At 47.9% G+C, this 27,312-nt stretch overlaps 1 protein-coding gene across 17 annotated transcripts in view, besides 6 other annotated features; it reads right to left on the bottom strand.

Annotated features, from left to right (window-relative positions):
• Positions 1-27,312, bottom strand: part of MED15 (mediator complex subunit 15) — an 80,010-nt gene that overhangs the window by 26,156 nt on the left and 26,542 nt on the right. For 11 of the 17 annotated variants that reach the window (XM_047441395.1, XM_047441398.1, NM_001003891.3 and 8 more), the window contains 4 exons: positions 24,260-24,347; positions 9,977-10,028; positions 8,290-8,319; positions 6,316-6,528 (listed from right to left, as the gene is read on the bottom strand). In XM_047441395.1, coding sequence (XP_047297351.1) covers positions 6,316-6,528; positions 8,290-8,319; positions 9,977-10,028; positions 24,260-24,337 — 373 coding nt within the window. In that variant the 5' untranslated portion in view covers positions 24,338-24,347. Of the gene's footprint in view, positions 1-6,315; positions 6,529-8,289; positions 8,320-9,976; positions 10,029-10,116; positions 10,448-24,248; positions 24,348-27,312 lie in introns of those variants that run through there. The other 6 variants (XM_047441401.1, XM_047441399.1, NM_001293236.2 and 3 more) reach the window with 3 other exon arrangements.
• Positions 50-219: an enhancer, noted in NCBI's record as "experimental_62823 CRE fragment used in MPRA reporter constructs". NCBI's record gives its function as "activates a minimal promoter by MPRAs in K562 erythroleukemia cells, with activity observed for both the introgressed and non-introgressed 22:20915617 variant alleles {active_cell/tissue: K562}" and the evidence as "EXISTENCE:reporter gene assay evidence [ECO:0000049][PMID:34662402]".
• Positions 7,152-7,321: an enhancer, noted in NCBI's record as "experimental_62813 CRE fragment used in MPRA reporter constructs". NCBI's record gives its function as "activates a minimal promoter by MPRAs in K562 erythroleukemia cells, with activity observed for both the introgressed and non-introgressed 22:20908515 variant alleles {active_cell/tissue: K562}" and the evidence as "EXISTENCE:reporter gene assay evidence [ECO:0000049][PMID:34662402]".
• Positions 10,069-10,158: an enhancer, noted in NCBI's record as "active region_18681". NCBI's record gives its function as "activates an Ori minimal core promoter by ATAC-STARR-seq in GM12878 lymphoblastoid cells {active_cell/tissue: GM12878}" and the evidence as "EXISTENCE:reporter gene assay evidence [ECO:0000049][PMID:35858748]".
• Positions 11,241-12,231: an enhancer, noted in NCBI's record as "H3K4me1 hESC enhancer chr22:20903520-20904510 (GRCh37/hg19 assembly coordinates)". NCBI's record gives its function as "activates a minimal SCP1, AML or CMV promoter by ChIP-STARR-seq in naive H9 embryonic stem cells {active_cell/tissue: H9 hESC(naive)}" and the evidence as "EXISTENCE:reporter gene assay evidence [ECO:0000049][PMID:30033119]".
• Positions 13,971-14,140: an enhancer, noted in NCBI's record as "experimental_62800 CRE fragment used in MPRA reporter constructs". NCBI's record gives its function as "activates a minimal promoter by MPRAs in K562 erythroleukemia cells, with activity observed for both the introgressed and non-introgressed 22:20901696 variant alleles {active_cell/tissue: K562}" and the evidence as "EXISTENCE:reporter gene assay evidence [ECO:0000049][PMID:34662402]".
• Positions 23,739-23,908: an enhancer, noted in NCBI's record as "experimental_62783 CRE fragment used in MPRA reporter constructs". NCBI's record gives its function as "activates a minimal promoter by MPRAs in K562 erythroleukemia cells, with activity observed for the introgressed 22:20891928 variant allele {active_cell/tissue: K562}" and the evidence as "EXISTENCE:reporter gene assay evidence [ECO:0000049][PMID:34662402]".

Here is a 27,312-nt window from a genome sequence, read left to right as displayed (position 1 = left end):
ACTGCAACCTCCGCCTCCCGGGTTCTAGCGATTCTCCTGCCTCAGCCTCCCAAGTAGCTGGGATTACAGGCATGCGCCACCATGCCCAGCTAACTTTTTGTATTTTTAGGAGAGACGGCGTTTCACCATGTTGGCCAGGATCGCCTCAATCTCCTGACCTCGTGATCTGCCTGACTGAGCCTCCCAAAGTGCTGCGATTACAGGCCTGAGCCACCGCGCCCGGCCTTTGTCTTTCCTTTTCTAAGCTTCTTTGTCTTTTTTGATTGCATTTTTGTTGGATGATTGGATTGAACTTTGTATTATCTGGATTTCTGCCTTATCCTATTTTTTCTATTGATCTTAAATTTTATGAATTATTTCCATTGTTTTAGCAATAATTTTTCAATTTTATCATGCATATTTAACTTAAAGTATAAACCTCATCAATATTTTAGCATTTCCCAAATTTACTACTTTTTAAAGTAGGTTTTATATGTACCCGACAGAACCGATATTCACGCTCTATCTCCCTGCTGACTTGCATTTATTTCATATTTTGTTGATCTATTTTAACTCTTCACAGCAGACATTCTATTAAGAGGCTGGATGGATTTGAGGCTAGGGATACAGCCTCCAAGCTAGGCTGCCTGGACTCAAAACCTCAACTCTGTCACTGCTCATTGCCTTAGTTTTCCCTGTTAGAAAATGCAATAATAGTACCTACTCCACACACTGGACTAAGAATTAAATAATCTATTATGTAAGTAAAACACTCAAAATAGTCCCTGGGGTTGGGTGCTGTGGCTCATGCCCGTAATCTCACACTTTGGATAGCCAAGGCAGAGCAGATCGCCTGAGCCCAGCAATTCAAGACCAGCCTGGGCAACATAAGGAGACCCTAGCTCTATAAATAATAATAATAGGCCAGGCGCGGAGGCTCATGCCTGTAATCCCAGCACTTTGGGAGGCCAAGGAGGGCAGATCACAAGGTCTGGAGATCGAGAACATCCTGGCCAACATGGTGAAACCCCGTCTCTACTAAAGATACAAAAATTAGCTGGGCGTAGTGGCGCGCGCCTGTAGTCCCAGCTACTTGGGAGGCTGAGGCAGGAGAATCGCTTGAACCTGGGAGGTCGAGGTTGCAGTGGGCCGACATTGCACCACTGCACTCCAGCCTGTTGACAGAGCGAGATTCCATCTTAATAATAATAATAATAATAATAGAAAAGAAATGAAATAGTGCTTGGAATGTGGCAAGTCTGTATGGAGGTTAGCCTGACTGTTTTATTTTACAGAGGTAAATTTTTATTTACACCAGCGATTTTCAACCTTTTCACTACTGACACTTGACCCAGATGATTCTATGTTGTTGGGGGGACTGACCTGTATTTGTAAGATGGTTAGCAGCACCTCTGGTCTCCACCCATTACGCACCAGCAGCACCCCCACAGTAGTGACATCCCAAAATGTCTCCAGACATTGTCAAATATCCCCTGTGGTGGAATGTCACCCTGGGTGAGAATCACTGCTTTAGATTTATACACATTTACTATCACCTATGCTCAACGTTTCTTTTCCCATTTTACCTTGTATCACCTGAGAGGGAAGAGGAAAGGATAAACAAAAGAATATATCTAAGAGTGCAAAAGGCTTATTGGAAAAAGGATAAAAAAAGATATATCCTTTAGAAAATCTTTTAGTGATGGTCTCTAAGGCTAGGTTTATCTAAAAATGGCTTGCTTTCCACATCCTTGAGTCTTGCTGGCATACAAATGTGACTGGCAGCTCTATTCTCAATGCTTTAACAATATTCTATTACCTTTCTGACTCTACTGCTGAGTGTACTCATTGCTCCTTTGCAGGAACTGCCTATTTCTAAGACATTCCTCTGGCCTTTGGTGCTCTGCAGTCTCACAGCAGATGAGATGGCTAACTTGGTTGGGGCCAGATGGGCTTTTCTCAGTAGTTATCCCCTCACATATTGTTTTCTTCCATTCTCTCCATTTGATCCTTCCGGGGCTTTGCTTGGATGCCAATTAGAATTTCTGATCTTATCCTCATTTCTTACCCTTGCTTTCACATTTTCCATGTGCTCTTCTCTGTGCTACATTCTAGATAATTTCTTCAAATGTAGCTTCTATTACACAAATTCTTTCTTCAGCTGTATCTAATGCGCTGTTCATTCATCCACTTTCTTCGTTCAATAATTATATTGCTCATTTCTACAGCTTTCATTTGGTTCCGTTTCAAATCTGCTTCATTGCTCCTGATGATGCTTTTTCATTTGAATTTCTGCTCTTTCTTTTCCTTTTTGTTTTCTATTTTTTCAGAGATGGTGTCTCGTTCTATCCCCCAGGCTGGAGTGCAGTGGTGCAATGATAGTTCACCATAGCCTCAAACTCCTGGCCTCAAGCAATCCCCCTGCCTTAGCCTCCCGAGTAGCCAGGAGTGTAGTCGTGAGCCACTGTGCCCGGCTCTCCACTTTATTTCTTTATATACCCCATGGCCCATAACTAACAGTTCCTGTGTGTGTGGTCACTGGGCATGCCTACATGTGTCTATTTTTTCTGTTCACCTTCATGGTGTCTCTCCTTCCCTTCAAGGCTGGTGATCTTTGTATGCTGATTGCTTGACCTTAATGTGCAACTGTCACAGGTCTTACACTGGGGACATGTTCCTCCAATCCGCACCTGCTCCAATCTGCACCTGCTTCTGGGGGGTATGGGGGGTGACACAGGACCCAGCACAAATCCTGGCTGACTACAGGAATCCCAAGCTTTCTTCCCCCACCTTGCAGCAGCTGAGGCTCAGGAGGACAAAGCCTCCCCAACTGCTGCAGGCCAGCATTCCAAAGTGCATCCTAACCAGAACCTAGTTATCCAGGAGGAGAACATGTCCTCAGCACCCCAGTCCATCACACAACTGGCAGTAGAAATTATTTTTAAAGTCGGCTTTACATGCACGTCATATAAAACTCATGAGAAACAAAAATGCGCAGAGTGAAAAGCTTTGCTTCCAACTCTGTACTGCAGCCCCAGCCATAGGAACAACCAGCAGTTTCAGCCTTTTCCGACTAACCTGGGTCACCTGAAAACTATCACAATGTCCCCTGGCCTACCCTTTGAGAGTCCCTGGCAAAACCTCTGACCCAGGCTCTGTCCTCTTGGTGGCACTAGATGAAGATCTGAAAGGGCCTTAATCATGCAGTAGTCTTTGGGAAAGGTGTCAGGAAGGGGTATCAAATGCCCATCAGACAACACTACTAGTTTCAGGGAGACCAGGGAGGCAAGTGGTGAAGGGCAGGGAGAGTTGGCCTCTGACAAAGGTGGTAACAAGATCCTGAAGTAGAGAATCCACTGTAACTTTTTCTTTTTTCTTTTGAGACAGAGTCTCGCTCTGTTGCCCAGGCTGGAGTGCAGTGGCACGATCTCGCCCCCTGCAAGCTCCGCCTCCCAGGTTCATGCCATTCTCCTGCCTTAGTCTCCCGAGTAGCTGGGACTACAGGCACCCACCACTACGCCCGGCTAATTTTTTGTATTTTTAGTAGAGACGGGGTCTCACCGTGTTAGCCAGGATGGTCTCGATCTCCTGACCTCGTGATCCGCCCGCCTCAGCCTCCCAAAGTGCTGGGATTACAGGCGTGAGCCACCGTGCCCAGCCCCCACTGTAACTTTCAACTAGTGCCACACAGAAGACCAGTCCCCTTGGAAGCTAAAAACAGGATGTGGGGGCCAAGGCCAGACTGGGGAGGGCGTGGGCAGGATATCAAGCTTCACCACTGAACTTCTGACAAAGAACTGGTTTAAGACAAAGTCTCTGAAGTGGGATGACAAGGCAACTCATGTGAGCATTCTAAACTCATACATTTAAAAACAATTTATTATCAAGTATAAGCTCATGATTAAAAAAAAAATGCACCAAGTACACAAGAGTAGAACGTGACAAGGAACTTGAGCCGGCACTTCTGTGGGTCCTCCCTAAACCCAGCTGGTGTACTTATCTGATGTGCTAAAAATAGTGAGGTAATGAGAGCTTGGGACGAAGAACCAGGCAGATTGTTCTAGGATGAGGAAACCAGCACGTGCTGAGAGTTAGACAACAGGAAGTAAGAGGAGAATTAAGGTATGAGAAGGGAAGGTGGCTTGGGATGGAGGAAGATTCCAGAGCAGGAGTGGGTAGAAATGAGGATGCCTATGGCCCCAAAGAAGAGGAAACCTGACACAGGATAGGGTAGGAGTGTGAGGATGGGGTCAGGCAGCAGCTTCGATCCCAGCTCTTGGCCTGGGGTGTGACTCCAGTTCTCCTTAGCAGCTGCTACACTGACAAAGCAGAGGGGGCGATGCTGCCCTCTTCATAGGGTTATCATGAGGGATGTGTGACAAAAATATATTGAAGCACTGAAGCCTGTACACAGATATCCACAGCAGCTTTGTTTGCATAATAGTAAGCAAAAGCAGGAAACAACCCAAATGTCCTTCATGGGTGAATGAATAAGCAAACTGTGGAAAATCCGTTCCATGGAACACTACTTAGTGATGAAAAGGAATGAATTACTGATAAAACCTGGCTGGGTCTCAAGGGTATCAGATTGAATTTAAAAAGCCAATCTCAAAAAGTCACATATGGTATGATTCCATTTATACAACATTCACAAAGGGACAGAACTACAGAGACACACAACAGATCAGCAATTGTCACTGCTTAAGGCTGGAGGGAGGGCGCGATCTCTGAGAGGTAACACAAGAGAGTTGGTTGGTGGTAATGGAACGGCTCCGCATGCCAATTGTGGTGATGGCTACTTGATTTGACACGTGGTAAAATCTCACAGACCTACACATACCCATATATGTAGCCCAAGAATGAGTGTAAAAAAACTGATGAAGTCGGCTGGGCGTGATGGCTCACGTCTGTAATCCCAGCACTTTGGGAGGCTCAGGAGAGAAGATCACTTGAGGTCAGGAGTTTGAGACCAGCCTGGCCAACATGGTGAAACCCCATCTCCACTAAAAATATAAAATTAGCTGGGCATGGTGGCAGGCGCCTGTAGTCCCAGGTAGTCGGAGGCTGAGGCAAGAGAACTGCTTGAACTCGGAAGGCAGAAGTTGCAGTGAGCTGAGATCACACCACTGCACTCCAGCCTGGGCAACAAGAGTGAAACTCTGTCTCAAAAAAAAAAAAAAAACTGATGAAGTCCAAGCTAAGTCTCTAACTGAGGTGATTACACTGCCTCAACATTAATTTCTTGGTTTTGACAATGTTCTATGTAAGATACTATTATTGGGGAGAGCTGGGTAAAGGGCATGTGGGAACTCTCTATGCTATTCCACAACTTCCTGTGACTCCTATTTTAAAAATAAAAAGTTACATGAAAGGGGAAAAAAACACTAAAGCACTTTGCAGTGGGCACAGCACACTCTAAGAAATGTTGATGGGACTCAAGGATACATCAAGATAGGTCCTAAGGGCAGGCGCGTTGGCTCACGCCTGTAATCCCAACACTTTGGGAGGCCGAGGTGAGCAGATCGCTTGAGCCCAGGAGTTCAAGATAAGCCTGGGCAACATGGTGAAGTCCCATCTCTACAAAAAATACAAAATATTAGCCGGGCGCGGTGCTGTGAGCCTATAGTCCCAGCTACTTTGGAGGCTGTGGTGTGAGGATCACCTGAGCCCAGGATGTCCAGGCTGCAGTGAGCCGTGATTGTGCCACTGCACTCCAATGTGGCCCACAGAGCGAGACCCCGTCTCAAAAGACAGGTCCTGGAAAGAAGAGGGAGGTTCTTTGCCTCCCCTTTAGAGCAGCTTTGGTTCACCTATAACACCTGATCACAGCCCAGTTTCCCACCACAGCAGCCGTGTGGAGAGGACACAGAGTCTCCTTCACAGAAAGGAAGCCAGAAGATAATATGGCTGCAAGCCACACCCATGGTGACCAAGGGGCAAGGGCAGCACTAGAAGAGATGGTGCCCAGAGCTCGGGCAGACAGTGGAGTTGTGGTTGCTGGCACTCAGCCCTGCCTTGTAGCTGAGAACCCTCTGAAACACACTGTATCTATTTCAGCCACAAAACACAAACCTTTGGATGGAGTCTCAGGCCATCCCCACCCTCCTGCCCAGGGCTAGGAGGAGGAGGAGGGCCCAGCATCACTTAACCCTTCTGGGAGCTCAACGAAAATTGGAAGCCTTTTCTCTCCACATACAACAAAGATTTAAAAAACAAAAAAACCAGAGCGATTTGGAGCTTCTCCATGCTTTTCTTGATACCATCATAAGCACAGGAATAAAATGTGTTGTCGTTTGCAAGGAAAGCGGCAAATCCTCCAAGAAGTGTGGTACTCACTCTGTGGAGTTGCCGTAGACACGACAGCCATGCTGTGAGGGGCCATCCCCGAGGTCCCAGGAGGCGGCTGCCCTGAGAGAGACATTGGCTGTCCCATGGCACCAAGGCTACCCATCCCGCCCAGAGACTGTCCCGGGCCCCGAGGAGGCATGCCAATTCCAGCGGCTCCCGCAGCAGGTCCGCCAGTCAGGCTCTGGAGTGCATTCATAGGATCTGTGGGAACACAAGGGCAGAGCTTCTCAGGAAAGGGCCTACCAGACTGACCATGGCTCAAAGGGCGTAAGGCTCACAGAGCACAGATCTCGCCTACCTACAGGCTCAATCCCCTCACAGCCCCAAGCAGTAAGAGACTAGGCTCCTGGAGACTCCCAAATATGAATGGCTAGGACGCCAGGTGTGTTGGTCACTGCATGACCCATACCTCTAGCCTGGCCTGGACCAGAGTCCTAATGTTAAGGGACAAATGACCTCTCTGATGCCTGCAGATACACTAAAGATGGGCTGAGGCCTTGAGGGCAGGTGGCAACCCCTGCCTCTCCTGGCTGTCCAGCCCTCCTGCTGGGTGAGCGTACAAAGCACGATGGGCCCTTCTGAGCAAGCGGTAACACAGTGGCCAGGGGACGCTCTCCCAGGGAGGGCACAAGTCCACAGGCACACACAGCTCCACTCGTGCTGTTGCAGAGTCCAACTCAGCCTGGGCCCCTGTGTGCAGGGCCACCATGCCAGAACAGCTTAGGGGTGCAGAGGAGGGCTCCACAGAGCACTGAGGAGAAATGTCCCAAGCCCACCAGGTCAGCAGCTCAGTGAGCAATGCCACAACCAAGGACAAGGATGCCATTGTCACAACAGTGTGGACTTCACAGCAAACAGCTACCCACAGACAGGTATGTCCTGGCAGGACCGCCATGCCACACAACTGGGTGGTACCCAGGACCCCATGCTCCAATGCCAAGGGGCCCAGATGTTCTGGCCACATGCCCTTGCTGCCGCTCAGCCCCAGTTGGCCAAGAATCCCTGTCCTGGCTGAGAGGTGAGACCCACATGGGCAGAGACAGCTGGCATGTACAGCTCTACTGTCTAGGGCAGGGCAGACAGTGGCGTGCAGCCTGTGAGGTCAGTGCACTCCCTTCCCAATGGCAGAATGCAGTTGGCCAGCCTGGATCTGTTAAACCCCTTCCCTTGCAGCTTAGTCAGCAGAGACCAAGGCTGAATTGACAGAATTCCCCTCATGTGATAAACGCTGAAATTTAAAAATATGGATTTCTAAACTTTTTTTTTGAGATGGAGTCTCACTCAGTCATCCAGGTTGGAGTGCAGTGGCACGATCTCAACTCACTGCAACCTCAGCCTCCCAGGTTCAAGCGATTCTCATGCCTCAGCCTCCTGAGTAGTTGGGACTACAACGCATGCCACCACACCCGGCTATTTTTGTATTTTTAGTAGAGATGGGGTTTTACCATGTTGGCCAGGCTGGTCTTGAACTCCTGACCTCAACTGATCTGCCTGCCTCAGCCTCCCACAGTGTTGGGATTACAGGCATGAGCCACAGCACCCAGCCAGATTTCTAAATTTACAAAGAAACTTTGTAACTTAAAAAAGTGAATTCACAGCATTTTCTCAGAAATGCTACTACATATTATTACACTGAAAACAGCATAATAATTCTCTACCAGAGAGCTCAACACTTTTGGATAATGTCTTAATAGCTTTGTGAGTGTTTATCTTTTTGCTGGGCAAAGGCAGCATTTGTGTGAAACGGGATGGGGAGGATCATGCGACTTCACAGTCTGCAGGAAGACGAAGGCTGGAGAGGTCAGGGCACAGCTGGTCAGCCTCCTCCCTCCAGAGTTCTCTCCGCAAGCATTCTCCTCTAGTGACAGGTTAACCCAGGCACATGAGGCATGCACTATGTCATTCTTGCCACCTCAAATCCAAAGTTGGGAGAAACTTTAACTCAAAAGGGAAAACTCTTACCACTGACGGAAGCTTGAGATTTCTTGTTATCTATATGAAAACACAAACAAAAAAACGAAAGTAAACATAGTTTTATATAACCACATATTTCCATGGGTAGGTCAGTTCTGTAGGCATTTGCCCAAGCCTTAATCCCCACGGAGCTCCTAGTACTCCCCACTACTGGGGGAAGTGTTTCTACTCTTGGCAGCGCTGACCCCACAAGAGACCTGGGGGCAGAGGGTGCAGAGTAGCTCCAGGGTCAACCTGGGGCCTTAGGGAGCTGCCCCCAAGGCTGAAGCACTCTGGGGTTGGGGACCCTGGGCCTACTCTGGCTTTCCTTTTTCCCAGGTCCAGAGTCTCAGCTCAGCCCTGAGCAAACAAATAATAGAACACTACAGGAACCCACGGCGGGGCTGGAGTGGTGCCAAGACTTGACACTGCCTCCCTTTGCAGCCCACTCTGGTGAGGCAGTGTCTCTGTTACCTAGATGAGGAAACTGAGGCTGTCCACGGCCAGCTGGAAGCCAGTCCAGCTGACCCCAGTGCCCAGCGGAGAACTTCTGTAGCAGTCATGGGGCCCTGAGCCTCCTGCTCGGCTGCTTCCCATGACCTCATGAGCCCCACAGGACTGTGTGCACCAGCCAGGCCACTGTCCCTGAAAGCAGAACATGCGGAGTCTGCCAGCGCATCTGGGCCAGATCATCTGGGCTGCTCCTTCTCCTCTTACACATCCCAGTGACTTTCCAACACCACAGAGAGTGAGATCAGTGAAGTTCACTTTGCTGGCCATTCTGGTGAAAAGTTAGTGTGGAAAGAAGCAAAACCTACCAGGCTCTGGAGTGCTCAATGTCTCCCTTTGACCCAGCAACACACTGAAGGTACAGCTGCCTGTCCCTAACCCACAGGGGAATAGAAATAGGACTCGCCAGGCACATGCTCCAACGACAGGCCTGTGTCAAGAGAAGCCTGCCTCTGGTGGTTATGCAGCGGCAGTGGGCAGGAGCCATTGTTGGCTGAAAACACAGAGCAGCTGCTGGCCCCAGTTTCCTTCGCAGGCTGTGGCCATCCAGGAACACTTGGTGTCCACATACTTCCACGTAACACACACAAGCACGAAGACCCTGGCCCTAGGATGCAATGACAACTCATTTCTGTAGAGCTGGGGCCACTGCCTGGCTGACAGAACCACACTGGGCCCTCTGAATCAGAGGAGGCACAACGTGAGGTTAACACGGGGGCCCTCAGCACAGCAGGGAGCCAGGGTGCAGACTCAGGAGGTCCTCCTCAGAAGCTTCTAGTCTGGAGGGAAAATATGCCTAAGTGTCTCTGGCCTCCATGGGTCAATAAAATCAACTTTTAGGGAAGAGAGTTTCTGTTCCAGGGTAAACAGAACTTCCCAGAAGTAAAAACAACAGCCCTATGAAAAGGGAGATTAAGTGAGCAAGTGAAGCAGCAACCCGTTTAGACCACTTTGAGGACAGCATTTCCATGATGCTAGAATCAGCATTTTTGAGGCCAAGGCTCTGGGAGGATGGAGGGATCTGGAGTCAAATGCAAGGCAGTGAAGAACTTCCCAGAAGCAAGTGAGGTGACACAGACCTTCTGACTCAGGCACCACGGCCTGCCCAGAAAGCTCTGCCGAGGCAGCGTCAGGGCTGGCCTCTCACAGAGATCTCAACAACCCAGAAATGCAAAATCTTACTTACGAATGTCTCGAAAATGGATAATGAGCCTGGCCACGAGAGAAAGGTATTCGTCCTAAAAGTAAAAACAGGAAGCAGTTTAATACCAGATGAAGAAGCGCAGTCATCGGACTCCCCCTTCCCGCCCCCTCGCCTGCTGGCACCGAGCTGAAGCCCATCCTGCAAGGCAGATTCAGACGCTTGCTCGGCCTCCTCTGGAATCCGCCTCTCGGAAGAGAGCCGTCAGTGCTCAGCTAGGCTGGCCAATAACAGGCACAAAGAAACAAGAAGGGGACAGAGAGCCTCCAACGGCCACTCCTCTCCCCTGATGGAAAGGCACTCAGCTGAGAGAGCTGGGAGCCATCTTGAGTGCCCTCTCTTCATCACAAAGGGGACAGGCAGGTTGGGGGTGATGAGGCGCTGGCCTGAGGGCACAAGGCCTGTCAGAGGCAGCCGTGGGTGGGCCGCTGTGTCTTTGCACTATCTGTAAAGAAGGGCTTTCATTTCTCAGCCCAGCCTGTTGCTGCCTTTTCACTGATGACGCAGTATCTGCTGAAAATCTGGGCGGCCCTCCCCTGGCTGCGCTTTCCGGGAGAATCTGTGTTCATCTCCATTTACGCACAGGCAAGGCAGAGGGTGAAGCCCACTCTCAGGTGAGGTGAAGGCCACTGGCTGCCAAGGCCCGCTATATGCAAGCTGCTGTGTTTCTGAGATTGTCTGGCAGGGGCTGCCTCCCACCCATTGTCCTCTTTGGCCCCAAGGACACTCACTCCCAAGTGTTTCAGGGAAATCACTACTGTGAGTTGGTCTTGTGGTCAATACACGGATGTCTGAGGTAAAGTCTTATTTCAGAGAAGCATCCTTGTCTTCTGCTGAAGTGCCCATCCTTCTGGCAGGGCAGCCTGGAAGGGGCAAAGCCCCGGCTCCGTGCCCTGCTCACCCAACCTTCCTCCTGAGTCACTGTGACACTCAGAGTCCATCCACTACACTCATAAGATGGCAGGGCAGAGGGAAGGATGATGAAAAGTGGTCTCAGATGAGTGTAAAAATACAAAGACACTTTTGAAATCTTTATCATCCCACATCTATCTCCAAACTCTACCCCACTTCTTTTTTTCAGCTCGGGGAATTAGCACAGGACAACATGAAGAAGAAAGGCCCAGGGGAGAGGAAAAGCTGGGATAAGCAGCGAGGCCTGGCCAGAACAAGGGGACACCAAGGCAGTTCTGTCAACACGCCCAGCTTCCGGCTATCCCCATCAATTACTGATAGGAAAGCTGATGTGCGTGTGAAGGGGGCCCACAGGCAGCCTGTCCCTGAAGGACAGTGGTATGAGAATGGGGGCAATGGAGGTGTGGGAACCTGAGGACACTCAGGAACAGAAGCAAGGTGGCCATGTATGAGGGGAGAAGGGCCTGGGGGCCAGCCAGGTCAACACCTCACAGCTCCTAAGGCCCTGGACCATTTTTTAGGTCTGCGATACTTTAAATGAATTTGTTTTCTCCACATCCATAAAAGGTAAAACAAGGGGAAGTAGGTTTCAAAAGCAACAAGATACTTTTACTTAGACATAAGACACTCAAACAAGGCTCAGGACCATGTCACCAAAGCCCTTCTGCATAACACCAGGGCTGAGCAAGACCCACTGCCAGCCCAGCACCTGGAATGCAGTGGGCAGGCATCATCATCCTGCAGTGCCCAGCACCACTCCTGACCCACAGTAGGCGCAGCCACTGCCATCTGCTCCAGCTCTGCTACCAGACCAGCGTGAGGAGGCTTAGTGGGGAGCGGGGAGGGAGGGGACGCCTGATGTGAGAAACAAGCACAGGAAGCTGTCATGCTGCCAGCCAAGGAGCTTTCTTGTGGGCGATGATACTTCCTACATTCCCCCAAAGGCAGGTTTATCTAGGAACATCTAGGGGCTGAACGCAATGGGTCAACCACAACAACTCCTTTCCAGGGGAGAAAGCCCTGGATCTGAAACTGCGCCTCTGATCCCCCTGGCTGGGCTCTTTCACTCCTGACTCCTCACCATCCACCCCCACCCCCATCCAGATGGACAGATTATTATGCCCCTTTCTGCTCCAAAGCACACCAACTCCCCTAGAACTGCTGCAGAAAAAAGGGCTAAAGAGTCAGGAAACTCCCTATCTTCACTTGGTCTGCTCCAGCTCCCCTGCTGGCTATCAAAATATAAGTGTCCAGCTGTACCTGAGGCTGAGTATTACAAACCATAAACAATGAACATCATGACAGTAACAGCTAGCACTTGGCACTTTACAGTGCCAGACACAGGAGTCATCAATTCACATGCATTATCGCCTTGATTTCTCCCAACCACCCAGAGGCAGGTACTACTAACACATCCAGTTTACAGATAAGAAAACAGAAACCTTAAAAAACTCCATAGAGGCCAATCGTGGAGGCTCACATCTATTATTCCAACATTTTGGGAAGCCAAGGCAGGAGGGTCCCTTGAGGCCAGGAGTTTAAGACCAGCCTGGGCAACATAGTAAGACACCATCTCTACAAAACAAACAAACAAACAAACATTACCCTGGTGTGGTAGCACACGCCAGTGGCCTCAAAGTGGGAGGCTGAGGCTTGAGCCTGGGAGATCAATGCTGCAATGAGCTGTGACCACTCCACTGCACTCCAGCTTGGGCGACAGAGTGAGACCCCACCTCAAAAAGTTAAAAGCTTCATAGAATTTCCACACTTGCTTGACATGTGGAAATCTTGCACAAGTGCCTCACAACATATTGTGGAGTGAACACAAGGAAGGAGAAAGGATAGAAACACGTGCTCCGTGCCACATACACTGCATGACATACACCTTTTATATAAGACCTGTGGAACGTAAACACACATATTTGCTTAAATCTGCCATGAGAAACACTGGAAAGATACACCAAAATTGAAAATCGACAACCCAGCAAGTATCAGGAACTGGGCTGGAAATGTGCCCTCTCTAAATCCACAGTGTTATGGGTTTTCACTTCAGAAGCACATAAATCTTTTACTATTGAGAAGATAAAGCCAAATCAAGTCGGGCACCTTGGCTCACACCTGTAATCCCAGCACTTTGGGAGGCCAAGACAGGAGGATCACCTGAGGACAGGAATTCAAGACCAGCCTGGCCAACATGGTGAAACTCCATCTCTACTAAAAATACAAAAAAAATTAGCCAGGCCTGGTGGCGCATGCCGGTAATCCCAGCTACTTGGGAGGCTGAGGCAGGAGAATTGCTTGAACCCAGGAGGCAGAGGTTGCAGTGAGCCGCGATCACGCCACTGCACTCCAGCCTGGGCAACAAGAGTGAAAACTCTGTCTCAAAACAAAAAACAAAAAACAAAAAAAACAAATCAAAGCTAGGCACAGTGGCACAGTCTTGTAATCCCAGCTACTTGGAAGGATAAAGTAGGAGTATTGCTTACACCCAGGAGTTCAGCCTGGGCAACTCAGGGGCAACTCAGTGAATTTTATTTCTCTAAAAAATATATATATTTTTTGAGATGGGGTCTCACTCTGTCGCCCTGGCTGGAGTGCAGTGACGCGATCATCGCTCACTGCAGTTTCAACTTCCTGGGCTCAAGTGAGCCTCCCCACCTCAGCCTCCTGAGCAGCTGGGACTACATGCATGCAGTACCATGTCCAGCTAATTTATTTATTTATTTATTTTTATTTTTTAGATGGAGTCTCACTCTGTGGCCCAAGCTGGAGTGCAGTGGTGCAATCTCAGTTCACTGCAAGCTCCGCCTCCCGGGTGGTGCAAGCTATTCTCCTGCCTCAGCCTCCCAAGTAGCTGGCACTACAGGCGCCTGCCACCACGTCTGGCTAATTTTTTGTATTTTTTAGTGGAGACGGGGTTTCACTGTGTTAGCCAGGATGGTCTCGATCTCCTGACCTTCTGATCCGCCCACCTCAGCCTCCCAAAGTGCTGACATTACAAGCGTGAGCCACCACGCCTGGCCAATTTTTTGTATTTTTTGGAGAGACACGGTTTTGCCATGTTGGCCGGCTTGTCTTTTGCTCAGTCCCCAACCTCCAAAAGTGTTGGGATTACAGGTGTGAGTCACTGTAGCCAGCCTAAAATATTTTTCTAAAATGAAAAGTATAGCAAATCTAAAGAAAAAGGTCCAATTCCTAAACATTCCAAATAAACTAAAACAAATGAGCTGAATATTAAGTTGGTGGCAGAATCATATAGAGAAAAGAAATCTTTTGAGAGGCTTTTTAAAAAAATGAAACAAAAAGCAAAATGTTCTCAATAAAAGGGATACATTTTAAGGACAATTAGAACTTCAAGGTAATCTTAAATGTTTAGTCTACCTTTTGTTATCAGTGGTAATATAAACTGTTTATTCTGAAATGATTTTAAAGTAAAGCAACCAAGTATGCTAATAATATTAGAAACCAAGATATTCATAGTAACAGAAAAGACACATGTTTAAAATGAAAGAAGTAAAAACCCTATATATAAGTTTAAATTTGAATTAGAAATATTAGTGTAAAATTATGGGTTTTTGTTGTTGCTGTTATTTCAAAAACATGTTTTTTCTTAGTTCTGTTCACTGAAAGGCCCAAAGCAATGAACAGACCAGCGCCCACGTAGCATGCTCCAAATGCCACTTTACCGGCAGAAGTCCCCAGGGTTCACTCCCTAGAGGAGCAGCCAATCTGGGTCTAAATGCCAGCAGACTAAGAAAAACTAAAGAGGTTGTGTGAGGGCCCCAAGAGACACAGGAGCTCCTGCTAGATGAGGATGGGACCATCTAAGCATCAAAATGAATGACAGCAATGGACCAGAACACCCCAGATACACAGCCCTGAGCTCAAAATGTCACTCAAAGAGAACCCATCTGTGGCCCTTGGGGGGACTCCTTAGACTGGAAAGATCAGAAAAACAGCATTCCTGGAGGTCCTGAACACACAGGGTTTCAAACAATCATCTAGCCCTGGCTGACGAAAGAAAACCTTTCTTGACAAAAAAAAAAAAACAAAAAAAACTCCATGTAACGAATGTGGGAGAAAAGCCAGAATTAGTCTACAAGCCCTAATTAAATGATGAAACCATCGGAAAGATAATAGGAGCTTTACAAGGGTCAGGCTGTTGTTGCTCTCCAAACCTCCAAATTGTGGTCTTATGGGAATATCAAGATGCCCAGAAATACAAATTAAGGCAATACTTCGGATATATTTTTGCTAAAAGACCACGGCACCCTCTCTGCTCTCCGATTTAGCACCCAGTTCATAAGAAGGAGGGGGCAGGCAGGATGAATCAGCAGCTTGGGAGACATCAGAGCCCATGGGGAGGGCTGCAGGACAGCTGGGCTGCTCCTTCACCAGGCTGGGAGGGGCCAGAGGGGAGAAAAGACCCTCGTTTGGATCCTGATTCAAAGAAGCCAACTATTAGGAAAAAAGCGTTGAAACTTGAAAGAGGCCTTCCCATTGATGACAATAGTGACTCCATGTGATTGTCAGGTGGGGCCCTAGCACAGGCCAGTGTGGAGATGCTCAGCAGAGATACAACCCTGAGGGTGGGGATGTGCCCTCGACACTTCAGGAGGGACACAGAGACAGCCAAGGGAAAAGTCACCAAACCACAGCAACTGCTGACTCCAGATTAGAGGAATATGACGCCTCTGTGCTTTCATGTCTCAGAGTTTTCCTAATAGATTTTGAAATACCATCAAATTCCAGAAAGAGTGGTTCCATGATAGTATCCATAGCCCCATGGGACCTTGGCCCCAGCCCACAGGACACACCATCAGAAACCAAGTAGGGACAAGGCAGCCCCAGCAGTGCCCCCCACCCAAGGAAACCACACGGCCCTGACCTGGCCACCAAGGGAAAACAGACCTGTTATTCATCATTTTCACTCGTTCCATTAAAAATATATGTAATAGGCTGGCTGAGATACAATTCACCCATTTAAAACATGCCATTCAATGGTTTTTGGTACTACATTCAGAGTTCTGCAGCATTACCAAAATCAATTTTAAAGCATTTTGTTTCTTTTTTTTTTTTTTTTTTTTGAGGTGGAGTCTCGCTCTGTCACACAGGCTGAAGTGGCACCATCTCAGCTCACTGCAACCTCCACTTCCTGGGTTCAAGTGATTCTCCTGCCTCACCCTCCCAAGTAGCTGGGACTACAGGTATGCGCTGTCACCCCCTACTGATTTTTGTATTTTTAGTAGAGGCAGGATTTCACCATGTTGGCCAGGCTGGTCTCAAACTCTTGGCCTCAAGTGATCCACTGGCCTTGGCCTCCAAAGTGTTGGGATTACAGGCATGGGCCACCGTGCCTGGCCTAATTTTAGAACATCATCTTCACTCCAAATGAAAACTCCATTTCCCTACAGCACCCTTGGCAATCAATAATCAACTTTCTGTCTGTGGCAGGCTAAATAACAGTCCTTAAATCAGGTCCTATTCCCTGGAACCTGTAAATGTTACCTTATTTGAGAAAAAGGTCTTTGCAGATATGATGAAGTTAAACATCTTGAGATGGAGGGCTATCCTGGGTTATGCGGGTGGACCCCAAGTGCAATTGCATGTATCCTCCTAAGAGGGAGGCAGAAGGAAAGTTCACACACACAGAGAAGGCGACGTGAAGATGGAATACAGAGAATGTATTTACCTCGTGATGCTGGACTTGAAGACTGGAGTGATACAGCCACAAGCCAAGGAGTACCAGCAGTGACCAAAAGCTAAAAGATGCAAGAAACAGGTTCCTCTCCTATAGCCTCCCTGCTGCCACTGCGATTTTTACCCATGGTACTGACTTTGAACATCTGGCCTTGAAAACTGTGAGATTAAATTTGTTTGTTTGTTTGTTTTTTTGAGACAGAGTCTCACTCTGTCACCCAGGCTGGTGTGCAGTGCCGCGATCTCGGCTCACTGCAAGCTCCACCTCCCGGGTTCAGCCATTCTCCTGCCTCAGCCTCCCGAGTAGCTGGGACTCCAGGCGCCCGCCACCACGCCTGGCTAGTTGTTTTGTATTTTTAGTAGAGACGGGGGTTTCACCATGTTAGCCAGGATGGTTGCGATCTCCTGATCTTGTGATCTGCCCGCCTCAGCCTCCCAAAGTGCTGGGATTACAGGCGTGAGCCACCGCACCCGGCCTAAATTTCTGTTCTTTTAAGCCACCAAGCTTGTAGTAACGTGTTATAGCAGCCACAGGAAACATACGAATTTTGTTACCAGGAGTAGGGTGCCTAAAAATATGGCAGTGGCTTTGTAACTCAATAACAAAGGAGGGCTAGTAGAATTGTGAGAAGCATGATAGAAAAGGCCTAGGTTTCCTTGAACAGGCTGTGGGTAGAAATGCGGATGTTAAAGACTGTCACCCAGACTCTGCCTTAAAGGAAATGACGAACTTGATACAGAAAGTCTGTATTATCTTCAAGAATACATATACTATCAAAAACAGAATGTTGTTAGAAACATGAAAATTAAAGGTGATTCTAAAGAAACAAAGGAAACAAGGAACATGTTACTGGAAACTAGAGCAAAGGTGATCTTTGTAATATAATGGCAAAAAGTTTAGCTGGATTGTGTCCTGTAGCTGTGTGGAAGGCAGAATCATAAGCAATAAGTTTGCACATTTAGCTGAGCAGACTTCCAATCAAAGCATTCAAGACTCAGCTTGGGCCGGGCACAGTGACTCATGCCTATAATCCCAGCACTTTGGGAGGCTGAGGCAGGCAGATCACCTGAGGTCAGGAGTTCAAGACCAGCCTGGCCAACATGGTGAAATCCCATCTTTACTAAAAATACAAAAATTAGCCGGGCGTGGTGGTGGGCACCTGTAATCCCAGCTACTTGGGAGGCTGAGGCAGGAGAATCACTTGAACCTGGGAGGTGGGGGTTGCAATGAGCCGAGATCGCGCTACTGCACTCCAGCCTGGGCGACAGAGTGAGACTCAGTCTCAAAAAAATAAAAAAAAGGACTCAGCTTGGTTTCTTCTTTCTGCTTGTAGTAAAATGCAAGAGGAGGCCGGGCATGGTGGCTCACGTCTATAATCCCAGCACTTTGGGAGGCCAAGGCAGGCAGATCACTTGAGGTCAGGAGCTCAAGACCAGCCTGGCCAACATGGTGAAACCCTGTCTCTACTAAAAATACAAAAATTAGCTGGGTGTGGTGGTGGGCACCTATAATCCCAGCCACTTGGGAGGCTGAGGCAGGATAATCACCTGAACCCAGGAGGCGGAGGTTGCAATGACCTGAGATCACGCCACTGCACTCCAGCCTGGGCGAGAGAGTGAGACTCCGTCTCCAAAAAAAAAAAAAAAAAAAAAAAAAAGCAACATGAAAGAGATAAATTAAGGGTACAATAAAAAGAATTTTAAAAATACACACACACACACACACACACACACACACACACACACACAAAGAAGAGAGAGAAATTGAGGGAAGAACTGTTAAGCAGAAAGGAATCTAGACTTAATGATTTGGGAAATTCTCAGGCTATTTAGATTGGAAAAAACCAAAATGCTAAAACTAGGAGATTTACTGTTAGGAAAGTGTGTTCTGTAGAGAATGCCAAGGGTGTGGCATATCTTCCAAATTTTTCTAGTGCCAAAGAGATTAAACATGGGACTCATGAATCCCCTCAATCATCTCACAGAAGTGAGGAAGAGAGATGAAATTATCTAGGAAAGATCTGTGGAGAAACCTCATCTAATACTATGAATTCCATCATATATGTAGAAGTTCCACAAGGATTTTGAGAATGTTCTACCAGCAGAAACACTGCCAGCTTGGAGTAGAAAGTTTATAGACTAGGCAAAATCAAAGAAGAACTCCCAAAATTTTAGAAGCAGGAATAGGCTGATAAAACTACGCAGCCTCAAACATGTGCTACCCTTTAAGAAAGTGAGGGCAGAGACATGGGCTCAGAAGTCAGAGCCATGGACCCAGAGATAGGAGCCTCCAACTTTATGGTAACTTGTTATGGCAGCCATGGGAAACTAATACACTATCTCTATAGATCTTCGTATTCTCTGGACATTTTATAAAAATGCAACATGTCATCCTTTGTGACTGCTTCATTTATGTAATGTTTTTAGCTTCATCCATGTTGTAGCATGTATCAGCCCTTCATTGCTTCGTGTGGCCACATGATATTCATTGTATGGATATTCTACATTCTGTTTATCCATTCATCAGCTGGTAGACATTTGGGTTGTTTCCATTTTTGGCTATTTATGATGTTATAATGATGCTATAAACATTTGTGTATATATTTTTGTGTGGACATGTTTTCTTTTCTCTTGGATATATACCTGGGAGTGAAACTTCTGGGTCGTATGGTAACTCTACATTCAATTTTTTGATGAACTGTCATACTGTTTTCCACAGCACCATTTCACATTCTCTCCAGCAATGTATGAGAATTCTAATTTCTCTGCCAGGCACGGTGGCTCACCCCTGTAATCCCAGCACTTTGGGGAGGCCAAGATGGGTAGACCACCTGAGGTCAGGAGTTCAAGACCAGCATGGCCAACATGATGAGACCCTGTCTCTACTAAAAATACAAAAGTTAGCCGGGCATTGGCTGGGTGCAGCGGCTCACACCTGTAATCCCAGCACTTTGGGAGGCCTAGGTGGGTGGATCACAAAGTCAAGAGATCGAGACCATCCTGGCCAACATGGTGAAACCCTGTCTCTACTAAAAATACAAAAATTAGCTGGGCATGGTGGCACATGCCTGTAGTCCCAGCTACTTGGGAGGCTGAGGCAGGGTAATTGTTTGAACCTGGGAGGCGGAGGTTGCGTTGAGCCGAGATCCCGCCACTGCACTCTAGCCTGGCGACAGAGCGAGACTCCATCTCAAAAAAAAAAAAAAAAAATTAGCTGGGTGTGATGGTGTGTGCCTATAGTCCCAGCTACCCAGGAGGCTGAGGCAGGAAAATCACCGGAATTTGGGAGGCGAAGGCTGTAGTGAGACGAGATTGTGCCACTGCACTCTAGCCTGGGCGACAGAGCGAGACTGTCTCAAAAAGAAAGAGAATTCCAATTTCTCTACATCTTTGCCAACGCTTATTATTGTCTTTTTTAAAAATCATAGCCATTATAATGGAAATGAAGTGGCATCTCATTGTGGTTTTTATTTGCAATCCCCTAATGACTAGTGATGTTGAGCATCTTTTCACATGGTTGTTGGCCATTTGTATCTCTTCTTTGGAGATAGGTTTATTCAAGTATTTTGCCTATTTTTTATTTCATTTATTTTTATTTATTTTATTTATGTATTTATTTTTTGAGACGGAGTCTCACTCTGTCACCCAGTCTGGAGTGCAGTGGCATGATCTTGGCTCACTGCAAGCTCCACCTCCCGGGTTCACGCCATTCTCCTGCCTCAGCCTCCTGAGTAGCTGGGACTACAGGCGCCCACCACCACGCCTGGCTAATTTTTTTTCCTTTTTTTGTATTTTAAGTAGAGACAGGGTTTCACCATGTTAGCCAGGATGGTCTCAATCTCCTGACCTCGTGATCTGCCCACCTCGGCCTCCCAAAGTGCTGGGATTACAGGTGTGAGCCACCGCGCCTGGCTGTATTTTGCCTATTTTTTAGTTGCTTTTTGTTGTTGTTGTTGTTGTTGTTGTTGAGTTGTAGGAGTTCTTTATGTATTCTGGATATTAAACCCTTACCTGATATGTGATTTGCAAATATTTTCTCCCATCCCATGGGTTGTTTTTCCCTCTTATGACAGTGTCCTATGATGTACAAGTTTTTAATTTTGATGAAGTCAAATTTATCTACGTTTTTTGTAGCTTGTGCTTTTTTGGCATCATATCTAAGAAACTACTGCCTAATCCAAGGTCATGAAGATGTACGCCTCTGCTTTCTTCTAAGATATTTATAGTTTTAGCTTGTAAATTTAGGTTTTTGACCCATTTTGAGTTAATTTTTTAAAAAGTTTTTTAGAGACAGAGTCTCACTCTGTCACCCAGGCTGGAACATGTTGGTACAATCATAGCTTACTGTAATCTCAAACTCCTGGGATCAAGTGACCCTCCAGCCTCAGCCTGTCGATTAGGCAGGACTACAGGCACGCGCCACCATGCCTGGCTGGTGTTTTTTATTTTGAGTTAAGTTTTGTATAGGGTATGAAGTTGGGGCTCAACCTCAATATTTTGTATGTAGTTACCCAGTTGTCCTAGAAACTACTGTGATTTATGTATTTAAAATTTTATTTTTGGCACAAAATGGAAAGGCTGCCTACACTGTCATCTTCAGAAAGAGTGGCACAGCCTTTTCCCTAATCTGTCAAAAACCTTATGTGGCTTTCCACGTCCTCCAGGAGCAATTTCTAGCCCTTTCCACAGCCCCCCTTGGGTAAACCTCTTATGAGAGGTGTCCTGCTCTCCGGGATGATTACAATGCATCACTAACACCCCCTGCATCCCTCCACTTCCACTGCACTCCAGCCTGGCCGACAGAGCGAGACTGTCTCAAAAAAACAAAAATAAAAATAAATAAATAAAATCCCCCCTATATATTTGCAAATTATATATTTAATAACAGACTTATATCCAAATGCATAAAGAACTATTACAACCCAACAATAAAAAGACTAACAACCCAATTTAAAAATGGACAGAGGATCTGAATAGACATTACTCCAAAGAAAATATACAAATGGCCAAAAAGCACATGAAAAAGATGCTCAACATCATTAGTCACTAGGCAAATGCAGATCAAAACAATGCAAATCACACCCATTATAATGGCTACAATTAAAATAGACAATAACAAGTATTGGAGAGGATGAGGAGAAATTGAAACCTCATTTAAGCTGCTGGTGAGAATTTAAAATAGTACAGTTGCTTTGGGAAACATCTGGCAATTCCTCAAAAGGTCAAATACAGAGGTAGGGTATGACCCAGCAACTCTACCCCTAGGTATATACCCAAGAGAAATGAAAACACAGCCCACACAAAAATTTATACATTAACTATTGTTCTGCTTACTCATAATAACCAAAAAGTAGAAACTATGTAAATGTCCACCAACTAACGAATGGCTATAAAATATGTGATATGGCCATCCAGAAATGGAATATTTGACAATAAAAAGGAATAAAGTTGGCCAGGCACGGTGGCTCACGTCTGTAATCCCAGTACTTTGGGAGGCCAAGGCAGGTGGATCACCTGAGGTCAGGAGTTTGAGACCAGCCTGGCCAACATAGCCCCAGACCAATGCAAAACCCATCTCTACTAAAAATACGAAAATTAGCCAGGCATGGTGGCACACACCTGTAATCCCAGCTACTAAGGAGGCTGAGACAGGAGACTTGCTTGAACCCAGTGGGTGGAGGTTGCAGTGAGCCGAGATCGTGCCATTGCACTCCAGCCTGGGTGACAGAGCGAGACTCCATCTAAAAAAAACAAAAGAGGAATAAAGTATATACCAAACATGGTTCATGGACCTTGAACCTTGAAAATATTATGCTAAGTGAAATAAGCCAGCTGCAAAATAAAAACATATATTGTACGTGGCTGGGTGCGGTGGCTCATGCCTGTAATCCCTGCACTTTGGGAGGCTGAGGCGGGCGGATCACCTGAGCTCAGGAGTTTGAGACCAGCCTGGCCAACATGATGAAACCCAGTCTCTACTAAAAATACAAAAAATTAGTCGGGTGTGGTGGTGCGCACCTGTAATCCTGGCTACTTGGGAGGCTGAGGCGGAAGAATCGCTTGAACCTGGTAGGCGGAGGTTGCAGTGAGCTGAGATTGTGCCACTGCACTCCAACCTGGGCACAAGAGGAAAACTGTCACACACACACACGCACAAACAAAAAAAACCCATATGTTGTACAATTATATTTATATGGAAAATTCCGAATAGGCAAATCTACAGCAGTAGAAAGTATAAGTGGTAGCTGAGGGTTGAAGGAAAAGGGAGTGTGACTGCTAACAGGTATAAAGTTTCTTTAAAAAATGTTGAAGGCTGGGCATGGTGGCTCACACTTGTAATCCCAGCATTTAGGGAGGGCAAGGCGTGGGGATAGCTTGAGATCAGGAGTTCAAGACTAGCCTGGGCAACATAGTGGGACCTCGTCTCCACAAAAAATAAAAAACTTAGCCGGGTGTGGTGGCACATGCCTGTAGTCCCAGCTACTCAGAAGACTGAGAAAGGAGGATCGCCTAAGCCCGGGAGATTGAGGCTGCAGCAGGCTGAGATCACGCCACTGCACTCCAGCCTGGGTACAGAGTGAGACCCTGTCTCAAAAAAAAAAGTTCTAAAATTAGGCCAGGCTTGGTGGCTCGCACCTGTGACCCCAGCACTTTGGGAGGCCTAGGCAAGAGGATGGCGTAGGGCCAAAAGTTTGAAACCAGCCTGGGCAACACAGGGAAGCTGCACCTCTTTTTATTTATTAATGAATGTTCCAAAATTAGATTTTGGTGATGGCCACACAACTCTGTGAATATCCTAAAGACCACTGAAATGTAAACTTTAAAGGGTGAACCGTATAAAGCTCTTAAAGAAAAAGAAAAAGCTTATCAAACGTATCCGTAGTACAGAGCCCACTCTACCCCACCTCAGTGACACGTATCCATAATACAGAGCCCACTCTATCCCACTTCAGTCACACGTGTCCATAGTACAGAGCCCACTCTACCCCACCTCAGTCCCTGTGCTCTTGCAGCTCTGCCTTGCACACACACGTGCACACAAGTGAATATGTGTTTTGTTCATTTCTAGTAAAACGGTTCTGTCCCAGGGAGCACACACAGATTAAAGGAGGTGGTCACATAAAGCCCTCAGTGTGGTGCCCCACCCAGGGAGAAAGCCCACATATAGTGGAAATCCTTCTTCTCCACTCCACCTGTGGCGAGTTCTAGATAAGCATCACCTTCTTCACTTAGCAAAAGGGGACAGGAATGCTTCTGGGCCCATGCCTCAGGGCCCTGTAGGGCTTAGGTAAGGACCCCTAGGAGGGGCTGAGGACAAACCAGGTTCTTGCTCACGGCATTGATCCCTTCCACAGGACCAGCTAGGGGCCTGAGCAAGCTTCCTGTAGGATTCACAGGGGCTGACCACAGATGGAAGGTGACGGCAGTGAGGTCTGGGGCCAGAGGCTGGGCCTGCAACCCAAGTGCCCTCCCTGTACCATGGACACACAGGAGGACCCAGACTGCTGCAGGCAAAACCAACTGTGCCTGTGATCAATCGATGAGCAACCACCCCACCCCTACACCCTAGGACACCCAACAGAGGGGTTCCAGAGTCTGTGATGCTCTCCTCTCCAAGTCTCTCTGCCAGAGTGGCTCCACTTACTAGGGCCTTACCCGGGTCTTGGCCTTCAGGAAAACATGGCTCTCCATATCCTTGCTGGATTTACTGTGTGCCACACCAGCTTTCCTCATGGCATCCTCGCTGAAACACAAAAGGAGAAGAGACGTTTGCACACACCAGTGACTCCACCGCTGCAGGGCCCTGGCCAACAGGCCCTGCATAGCAGCTGCCCCTGGTGACAAGGTGCTATCGCCAGCACACCAGCCTGGCTGAGGTCCAGGAGAGGCATATGGGAAGGGGCACTCAACAGAGAGCAATGACAGGCCACTGAGCAGGGTGATCAGAAAAAAGGGACAGGAAAGGTGGTCGCCATGAAGCAAAGAGAGAGCCCTGGCATGAAGGGACGGGGCGGGGGAGGGGTTGCCCCTAGGGATGGCTCACAACCAGTTCAGGATCAAGGAAGTACGCATTAGACTACTGGGTGGCCAGCTGGCCTCTATTTCCTGCTCTCTGAGTGGCCTGCGTTCCCCATGAACTCTGCCAGATGGTAGCACCCTGGTTCTAGACTCGATTACTCCTATAAAATGAAGGGGCCACATGAAGTCATCTCTCAGTCCCTCCCAAGGCAAGGGTCTGTCCCTATGTGGGACAATGCAGGTCCTATATGTGGGATCAAAGAGACAAGCTCCAACTTCACTTCTAGCTAGAGACAAGAAGAGAAAGACCACATAAATGTGAAAAATATCTTTAAAAACCCATTTACCAACAATTTTGTACTAAGAGATAGAATCCTATGAAGAGTTTTTCATCACACTGCTGCTCCACGGGGATAAAGAGCCATGTACATCAGTTAAGGTGGAGACCCCTCGAATGCAGCACATGCTGCCCCACCCACCCCCACCCCCACCTCCCACACTCACACACAGAAAGACAAAAACAAGTGTGAATCTGTTAGAAAGGCCTGGCCTGTGGCTCCCAGGGGTGGACTGCTCTGGTGTGCTCACTGCCTGCCTTCTTGCCAGTGGGATGGGTCTCTTCCTTGCCTGGCCTCCCACCCTGGGCTTGCTGATAAAGAAACAAGTGGCCAGGTGCAGTGCCACACGCCTGTAATCCCAACACTTTGGGAGGCCGAGGCGGGTGGATCATCTGAGGTCAGGAGTTCAAGACCAACCTGACCAACATGGTGAAACCCTGTCTCTACTAAAAATACAAAATTAGCAGGGTGTGGTTGCGCATGCCTGTAATCTCAGCTACAAAGGAGGCTGAGGCAGGAGAATCGCTTGAACCGGGAGGTGGAGGTTGCAGTGAGCCGAGATTGCGCCACTGCACTCCAGCCTGGGTGACAGAGCGAAACTCCATCTCAAAAAAAAAAAAAAAAAAAAAAAGAAAGAAAGAAGCAGGCTGAGCACGGTGGCTCACGCCTGTAGTCCCAGCACTTTGGGAGGCCAAGGCGGGCAGATCACGAGGTCAGGCGAGCACGACCATCCTGGCTAACACAGTGAAACCCTGTCTCTACTAAAAATACAAAAAATTAGCTGGGCATGGTGGCAGGCGCCTGTAGTCCCAGCTACTCGGGAGGCTGAGGCAGGAGAATGGCATGAACCCGGGAGGCGGAGCTGGCAGTGAGCGGAGATTGCGCCACTGCACTTCAGCCTGGGCAACAGTGCGAGACTCCGTCTCAAAAAAAAAAAAAAGAAAGAAAGCAAAAGAAAAAAGAAACAAGCAAACATGTCAGGGCTCTGGGGCCTTGCCTCTGAGTGAATTGAATAGGCCCAGTCCAGCTCGTGCTAGAAAGCATTCTGACCACTCCAAACAGCAACCAGCCAACCTCAGGAAACTGAAGGAATGTACAGACGGGGCTACAGCAATATGACTGTGATTCTTAAAGACATCACAGAAAGGAGGTTTAATGCTGAGAGGTGCATACATCTGTCTTAATGTAAAAAGAAAAACAAAATGACATTGACCTACCACCCTGCTAGATTCAAAAAGCACTCTTGGGCTGGGCACGATGGCTCAGGTCTGTAATCCCAGCACTTTGGGAGGCCGAGGCAGGTGGATCACCTGAGGTCAGGAGTTTGAGACCAGCCTGGCTAACGTGGTGAAACCCTGTCTCCACTAAAAATACAAAAATTAGTCGGGTGTGGTGGCAGGCACCTGTGGTCCCAGCTACTCGGGAGGCTGAGGCAGGAGAATCGCTTGAACCCTGGAGGCAGAGGTTGCAGTGAGCCAAGATGGCACTACTGCACTCCAGCCTGGGCGACAGAATGAGACTCCTGCACTCTTGGAGTTCCTACCTCCCTGTCTGCTTCCTGAAGCCTGAAGGGAGGCGAGGAGGCAGCAAGGGGTTTCTGCTCACAAGGCATCCAGGTGTGGAACAGACAAGTAAGAAAGGTCACCAGGGCCACAAAAGATGAGAGAGTTAACAATCCAGGAGGATAATGACAACCAACTCACGCGCGGCACTGGGTCAGAGTCCTGGGGAAGCGAGGCATGGGTGGGCTGGGAGGACCCTGTACTCATGCTCTCAGGTTAGCATGGGGCAGGGTCTCCACACCCAGAGGCTGAGACGATAGCTGCTAGGCCCCAAGAAGTCAGTGAGCATTTCTGATAGAAGTGGCTGCACAGGCCTGTTTTCTGAAGGTTGCCTCATCTGTGCCCCTCAAGGCAGGTATGCCCTTCAAAGGCATACTTGTTCTTCCCACCTTCCTTTTTTCTTTTTCTTCTTTTGTTTTTTGAGACAATGTCTCACTCTCTCACAGGTGCAGCGCAGTGGGGCAAACACAGCTCACTGCAGCTTCAAACTCCTGGGCTCAAGTATCCTCTCACCTCAGCCTCCCAAATAGCTGGGACTACAGGCATGCGCCACCACGCCTGGCTAATTTTTTTATTTTTTACTTTTTTTGTAGAGACAGGGTCTTGCTTTGTTGCCCAGGCTGGTCTCAAACTCCTGGCCTTAAGTGATCCTCCACCTTGGCCTCCCAAAGCACTGGGACCAATAGGGAGACTCAGGGAAGAGCAGTAGAAACAGCAGGGGAGCATTTGCAGGCCAAGCAGGACGGCCTGGAGGCTGGCTGTGTAAGGAGTGGGGAGGCTGTGGGTGGCA

This window comes from Homo sapiens, chromosome 22 (assembly GCF_000001405.40).
Source record: "Homo sapiens chromosome 22, GRCh38.p14 Primary Assembly".
NCBI lineage: Eukaryota > Metazoa > Chordata > Mammalia > Primates > Hominidae > Homo > Homo sapiens.
This window is presented reverse-complemented; position numbering and strand designations above follow the sequence as displayed.